Source organism: Homo sapiens, chromosome 20, assembly GCF_000001405.40.
Source record: "Homo sapiens chromosome 20, GRCh38.p14 Primary Assembly".
In the NCBI taxonomy this organism is placed as follows: domain Eukaryota; kingdom Metazoa; phylum Chordata; class Mammalia; order Primates; family Hominidae; genus Homo; species Homo sapiens.
Window position 1 is genome coordinate 17,750,136 of NC_000020.11, and position 7,344 is coordinate 17,757,479.

The window sequence follows — 7,344 nt, forward strand, 5'->3', positions numbered from 1 at the left end:
CGGCCATCAGTGGGAGCTCTGGTGTTCTACTAAGTCCCCGTCAGCTGTTCCTTCTTGACTCAGCTCTGGAGCAAACTAGAAAGACAACTGCCTCAAGGGTTGTTTGTTCTGCCTTGTGGTGAAACCTGGAAGAGGTTGACCCTGAGAGAAAAATTCGCTCGTGACTGGGGTGAGCAAAGGTTTGTTTCTGGGAGGCGTGCAAAGCTTCCCAGGGCTCACACAGGGTGGAGCCCTCCAGGGACCCCCAGTGGCCCACCCAACTTCCAGACCCTGACTGCCCATGGGACAGACTCAGGTGCTGTGACCTCACCAGGACCTGCCAGGGATCAAACTCTCATGCCCAAACAAGGACGGCAGCCCCCTGGTGCTCCTGAAAGCAGGCAGTTTCCTGAACAGCCACAATGTGACCCAAGCGATGGGGCGGGAGAGGAAGAACCCACGGGAAGCAGGGAAATCCCTTGGCTGGCTGAGTCCGGCAAAGCCGCGGGGACCTCTCGGGAACCTCCCCATTGTGTAACACTTCCGGCCAGTCTCCTTAGGCTTCCAGGGCAGGCACAGGATCAAAATTCCCAAACCTAATACAGTTATGTTTTTAAAGTGTCCATAAGTCAATGGACAAACAATGCCCCATAATTAATGGCCTCAGGGTTGGGCCCTCAGCAAAGGAAGCAAAATCAGAGCTGCTCGGGGTCACCCACAGGCAAGCAGGCCCCTCCTTAGACCAAAGGGCTTCTCTCTCACTCCCCATAAGGATGTTGTCCACCCAGGCCCCTGGGGGCCCAGCCACTACTGAGGTTACCCACTCCTGGCTCAGAACATTCTGGAATTCCTCCTTTGGAATGGCCACTAGAGCCCCAAGTGGTTCTCTATACTATTCTCAACATGGTGACGACCCATTTGATCCATTCTCAACAAGTCTTCTGAAGATCCATTTGAGTGACTGAGTTATGGAATATGGTCTCTTACAAAACTCTGTTGAAGTGTAATACCCACAGAAAGATGCACAAATTATTGGCGAACAGTGTGATGAATTTTCAGAAGTGACCACAGCCACTTAACTACCACCCAGGTAAAGAACAGGACATTACTGGCAGGCCCCTCGGGCCCCGTCTCAGACGGGTCCACTTTCCCACAGCTGACATCTAGCAGCAGAGAGCGTTTAGTCTATTTATGAACTTTATATAAATGGATGTGTAAAATATGTGCAGTTCTGTGTCTGGCTCCTTTCCATGTTATGTTGGTGTGATTCATCCATGATATTGTGTGCAGTAATAATTCATTCTTTCTCGTGGCTGTATAGTATTCCATTGTATGAATAGACTACTCATTGGCTATGACAGATAGTGCTGCTAAGCATATTCTTGTACGTGTCTTTTGGTAAACACATGCTCTCGTTTCTCTTGGGTGTACTTCAAAGTGGGATTGCTGAGTAACAAAGCATATGTATGTTAATTTCATTGGACACTGCCAAACAGATGCCCAACATGGTTGGACCAATTTATACTCCTGCCAGCCATGTACGGGAAGTCTGCTTGCCCCAAATCCTTATCGACACTGGGTGGGTCAGTCTTTTTAGTCTTATCAATTCTGGGGGAGGTGTAGTAGCATTAAATTTTTCAGGATTTTTAAAGTTAAATTTTAATTTTTTTAGAGGCAGAGTCTTGCTCTGTGACCCCAGGCTCAGTGATGCAATCATGGCTCACTGCAGCTTCAAACTCCTGGGCTCAAGTGATCCTTCCGCCTCAGCCTCCGGAGCAGCCGGGATTATAGGTGTGTGCCACCATACCCACATTTTTCAGTTTTAATTTGCATTTAGAAATATGGTCTTCATTGTTAAAAATCTTAACGTGTGGCTGTAAAAGACGGAAAGGGACATCCGCATTGTAACTAAAAGGCTGGTGGGACAGTCGCTTGCTGCCTGCAGAGTCCATTGAATAAGAGCGAGGTCCGCTATAAAGAAATTGATTTATTTTCAAAGCTAGCTTACGGGAAGAAGCACTGGTGTCCACCTTGCCTTTGAATGTATCACTTCATTTTTGGAACAGAAAGTGGGCACTTTTAAAAGGCAGGGGAGGGGCTGGGCATGGTGGCTCACACCTGTAATCCCAGAGCTTTGGAATGCTGAGGCAGGCGGATTGCTTGAGCTCAGGAGTTTGAGACCAGCCTGGGCAACATCATGAAACCCCATCTCTACAAAAAATACAAAAAATTAGCCGAGTGCGGTGGTGTGCACTTGTAGTCCCAGCTATTTGCGAGGTTGAGGTTGCAAGATTGCTTGAGCCTAGGAGGTGGAGATTGCAGTAAGTGGAGATCGCACCAGGGCACTCCAGCCTGGGTGACAGAGTGAGAACCTGTCTGCCAAAAAAAAAAAAAAAAAAAAAATTTGTTTTAAAGGCAGAGGAGGAAGCAGGCAAGGTGAGGGGTCCGAGTGTTAGCTTGGTGTCTAGGTGGTTGAGCTGGTGGTGGTACCAGGTGGTTGAGCTGGTCACTGCTGGTGCCCTAATGGGCAGGCTGTTCTCTTTTGAGGCAACCTCCTGGAGGGTGAGAGTTTCTTAAGGGGCATGCTTTGGTTTGTAAATTGACTGTTAACTCTCAAGAGTTCTGTCTTGGAGCATGTAGATGAATTTGCCCTGTAGGGAGTCTGGTGAAGGGGAGGAAAAAGGATATATTTGCATTTCTAAACGGCTAAGTAGGAAGTGGGGAACCAGGGGAATGAGAAAAGACATAGAAAAAAATACTTAAGCCATCTCTTAGAAAAATGGGGGTACTTACTTACAATGTTGGGTTTGTAATGGGGCTGTGAAGATAGCCCCAGTACCTGGAATCGGGGCAGCACTATGCCAGTAAGTGCCCAATGGGTCCACTCACCTGGGAGCAGAAGGTCTGATATCACTACTAATACATCAGTCCTGTACCATGTAAGCTTGCTTCAAAAATTCCAATCATCCAGGGGCTTTCAGAGACTTACAAAAAAAGGACAATTCTGAGGTCTGTTGAAGTTCCCTTTGCCAGGATTTGCAGACACTTGGGCTGCAGAATGCAGTGCCTCTCCAGGGGCTGGGGACTGGGGAGGGACCATGGAGTACTCTGTTCATGCAGGCACTCAGAATCCCCAGAAATAGTCTCTCACACTACGTATCTCTCCCTCAACCTCAAGAATCTGGGGTGCCCATGGAGAGAAGCTTGGCCCCTGTTCCAAAAAGTCTGTGTGATGGTGAGGGTGCTGCCTCCCCAGGAAGGTCTCAAGGCACTGTCCTAATATCCCAGGCAGGCCATGGAGGATGAAGGGGTGACAAGTGACAGCCCCTTTTTGGGAAATTACCAATAGCTCAGCGCAGAAGTGATTATGTTTGTCAACCCTAAAGTTGTAGTCTCCCCTCCTGTCCCACCCATGTCCTGTTCAACATTAGTCCTGTCCACACCAACTCCAGAATGTACCGACCATCTTCCCACCTCCATAGCTCATGCCACACACTACTTCTAGTTGGAAGAGGACAACTTTTCTCCACCAGCCCTGTTTCCACACCTTCCCTTCTACTCCCCTCCCTACCCTAGGCCTTTGGTCCGCTGCCCAGCAGCCAGAAGAATTATTTAAAAACCAAATTAGATGATGCAGTCACATCTTTAAAACTGCAACACCCTTTCATTGCACTTGGAGTAAAATTCAAGCTCTCTGAGGCTTCACTGGGTCCCATGTGACCTGTGCCTGTCTCTTTCTCAGACCTCGTCTTGTACGCCTGCCCCCTTATCTTCAAGACTTCTTTCTGATCCTTGAGGTAGACCAGTTAATTCCTGCCTCAGGGTCTTTGCACATTCTGTTCTCTCCACCTGCAATGCCTTTTCCACTGGTATCTGCATAAAGTTCAAATGTTGTCTCTTCAAAAAGGCCCTTCCTGACCACTCAACCTCCAGTCGTCTCCTCCTCTGGCTACTCTGTCATATCGCCCTCTTTATTCTCTTCATGGTGCTTATCACCCTCTAAAAAGATCTTGATTTGCTTCCAAAATGTCTGTATCCCCATCTCCAGAATGTAAGGTGGTATATCCCCAGCACCCTTAAGTGCGGCAAGCATTCTGCAGGAAACCCGTAGGTATTTGCTGGATGAATTCTAACATGCTTCCATTAGCGGCAGGGGCTCATCCTATGGGTCTCCTCCCTTTCTCTGGTTCCAACAACTTGTGGTTGAATCGGTACCATGGCTCACAAGCCACTAGCTTTTCCTACCTCAGCTATAGCAGTACCAGGAAGGTGAGCTGTCCCTACTCACATATTTGGGCAGCAAATTGAGAGGATCTGCTCCACTCCTGCAGAGTGTGTCTGTGTCCATCACAGAGCTGAACCGCCTTTGTGTTGATATAAGCAAACTGAGGCACACACACTTTTTTTTTTAAATTGAGTACCTACGTGCCAGGCACAGTGCTAAGCACCAGAGTTAAAGAGAGAAAGTTCACAATCCCTATCCTGAAGATGCTCACAGTTTAGGGTTGGGGAAGAAAAATAACCAGACAAGGGCAATGCTACTGGGTTCAGAGGTTGCAAACATGAGTGTCTGTGGGAACCAGGCAGGTGCTGTGTCCCCTCACCCATCTCGGGTCTCGCCGGTGATGCAGTGAACACCCTCAGGTGCACTGCAGCTCTCCACTTCTCTAAGGGTTTGCTGTGTTTGCACACTGGGCAAGCTGAGAGGACCAGGGATGGATCACCCCAGGGGTGGCCTGCAGCCAACAAGAGATGGCAGCTGGCGATAAATACCCCAGCCGCCCCACCCCTAGTGGGACCATTCTGAGGCATGTTCTATGATGTTTCTCAGAGGTGCCCAGTAGCATTGAGCCCCACTTGCCTATGGGATAACTGGTCCATTAGCACCCTATGTATGGGCTTTCTCTCCTCCCTGTCTCACTTCTCCAACCCCTCCCTTGTGCTTCCTGGATTCACCTCCCAAATAAACTACTTGCACCCAAGTTCTCATCTCAGGGTCTGGTTTGGGAGGAATTCACACTAAGGCAGTGTGAAGCAGCTGGGTGTCATACAATAGGGAATGGTGGGGACTGTGGTGAACTTCTGTGCTCCCTAAAAGGTAGCAGCTGACACTCAGCTCCTGGCTGGTGGTGGCCAGGTTGCCATCTCCTTCAGTTTTTCAAGAGTTGCATCCAGATTTTCACGTGGTATCTCTCAACTTTTTAATGTCATAATAAATTCAAAATAAATTTAAAATACTATACAGGGCAAAGAAAGCACATCAATAGCATAATCTGCCATGTAGACCATAAATTTGCTGCCCCTGGTGAGCTCAATCAAGATGTGTAGAGGCATCATGGTGACTCCAACCCAGACTTACCCAGCAAGAGAGTAGGCAGGGGAAGCTTCCTGAAGGGTGTGATCTTTGAGTGGGGTCTTGAGAAGGAGAGAGATAGGGGAAGAAGATGGGAAAGGGCAGGAAGGGAACATAGGCAGGGAAGAGAAAATGGCATGAGCAACATGTGGAGAATTAAAAAGGGGGTCGGAGCTCTGAGGGATGAGGAAAGAGACCATGGATTGTCCAGAAAGATGAGAGAGATGAGTAACAGTCCACTAGATGCCAGGCATGGTATTAAGCGCTTACGTGCATTTTTCATTGCATCTTCCTAACAGGAGTTGAAATTATTATTGTTCACTTTACATACAGAAAAACTGAGACATAGAGAGGTTATTTGCTCAAGGTCACACAGTCAGTCAATGGAGGAACCTGGGCTGGATCAGAGCCTTCTTATGCTTAGGTGGAATGGGGCCAGATCATTCAACACCTCACGTATTACTCTCAGATCTTTACATTTTATTCCAACCATGGTGGGGAGACCCTGGAGAATTTAAGCAGGGAGGGTAATGTCACTATGACCACAGCAGGGGGAAGGCAGAGGGTAGGAGGCAGAATTGGGGGCGATTGCATGAATCAAGGTCAGAAATGATGGAGTCTCAGCTAAGTCAGTGTTGGGGCATGAAATCAAGGAGAGAGATTCAGGTGCAGAGGACACTAATGTGTTCTATTTTGGACACGTCGAGCTGGAGGTATCTCTGCAGCATCTCAGGGTCAACTCTCTGTAAGCAGATGGTTCTATGGGTCTGGAAGGCAGGAAGAGACTCGGAGTCATTAGGACACAGGCAGAAGACATGGCTGTGGGTGATGTTTCCATCAAGGAAGGTGGGAAACGGAAAGTTGCTGAGACAGAATCCTGGGGAGCTGCAAGGTTTCAGGGTGAAAGGATGTAGAAGAATGCACAAAGAACACCAAAAAGTAACAGCCAGAGAAGCAGAAGGGGACCAGAAGAGAGCAGTTCCATGGGCCACTGAGACAGGAGAGTTCCCAAAAGGCAGCATCAAATTCTTCCAAGATCAAGCAAGAAAATGGCTGAAAGTGTCCATGAGATTTGGCAACAAGGAAGCCATTGGTGACCTTAGCAAGGGTTACTTCAGTGGGGACAGAGGCAGATTGGGGTGAGGTAAGGAGTGAACAGGATGCGGGGGTGTGGAGACGGTGAGAGTAGAAATGATTCTACAGGCCGCCTCACCCAGGGAGAGACCTAGGCAGGCTCCAAGGCCGTTCAGCCTTCAGTTCACTTGTGCAATGCTGCATGTGCAATGGGTATTTAAAAACGTGTATTTCTGCTTTCTAATTCCAGTAGGTAAACAAAAAGAAAAGAAAAGAAAAGAAAATTTGTGTTTGTGCGTCAGCACTTCCTCTGCTTGGCTAAGTTTTGGGAGAACACCTTCTCTCCTTCTTTTACTCTTCTTTGACTTTCTCTCTCTTGGAAAGTGCTTACACCTGCTTAAGAAGTGAGTGTCCGCTCTTGATCCCTTTGAGTCCTTAGATGATTTTAAACCTTCATTAGAGATGAGGGGGGTGGGCAGGACCCGTATCTTTCTGCTTCTCCCTTCAGGTAAGTAATCTAGAGTGGCACATGCGCACTGATCATCAGTACCCACCTGCCAGAGTCACGGAGCCTTGCCATCCTCCATTGTAGACTGCGTCACGAGGTTGGCAGGACACCTCCACATCCAGCCTGGGAGAGGCCGCTGCCACCTGCTGCACTGCTCATGCCTGACCCAGCAGCCGCTGTCATTGGCTTGAAGAAGGAAGCTAAGGTGTTAGAAAATGTAATGCAGTGATTCCTGTCATTTGCTGTTTTGCTCATGAGTGCGGGAAAAACAAGAAGTAGAGCCGATGACAGGTGGGACCCTCTAATCGGGCTGGTATAGGGGGAAGGTGGATTTATCTAAGTCCATCCTTTTAGGATAGTCCTCAGTACTTCAGTAGCTGACACTTGAAACCAATTATCTAGGGATATCTTCATACAGATTCATTCATTC

The 7,344-nt window shown here is 48.3% G+C and overlaps 2 annotated features.

The window, feature by feature from the left end:
* Positions 411–963: an enhancer, noted in NCBI's record as "H3K27ac-H3K4me1 hESC enhancer chr20:17731191-17731743 (GRCh37/hg19 assembly coordinates)". NCBI's record gives its function as "activates a minimal SCP1, AML or CMV promoter by ChIP-STARR-seq in naive H9 embryonic stem cells {active_cell/tissue: H9 hESC(naive)}" and the evidence as "EXISTENCE:reporter gene assay evidence [ECO:0000049][PMID:30033119]".
* Positions 2,289–2,994: an enhancer, noted in NCBI's record as "OCT4-NANOG-H3K27ac hESC enhancer chr20:17733069-17733774 (GRCh37/hg19 assembly coordinates)". NCBI's record gives its function as "activates a minimal SCP1, AML or CMV promoter by ChIP-STARR-seq in naive H9 embryonic stem cells {active_cell/tissue: H9 hESC(naive)}" and the evidence as "EXISTENCE:reporter gene assay evidence [ECO:0000049][PMID:30033119]".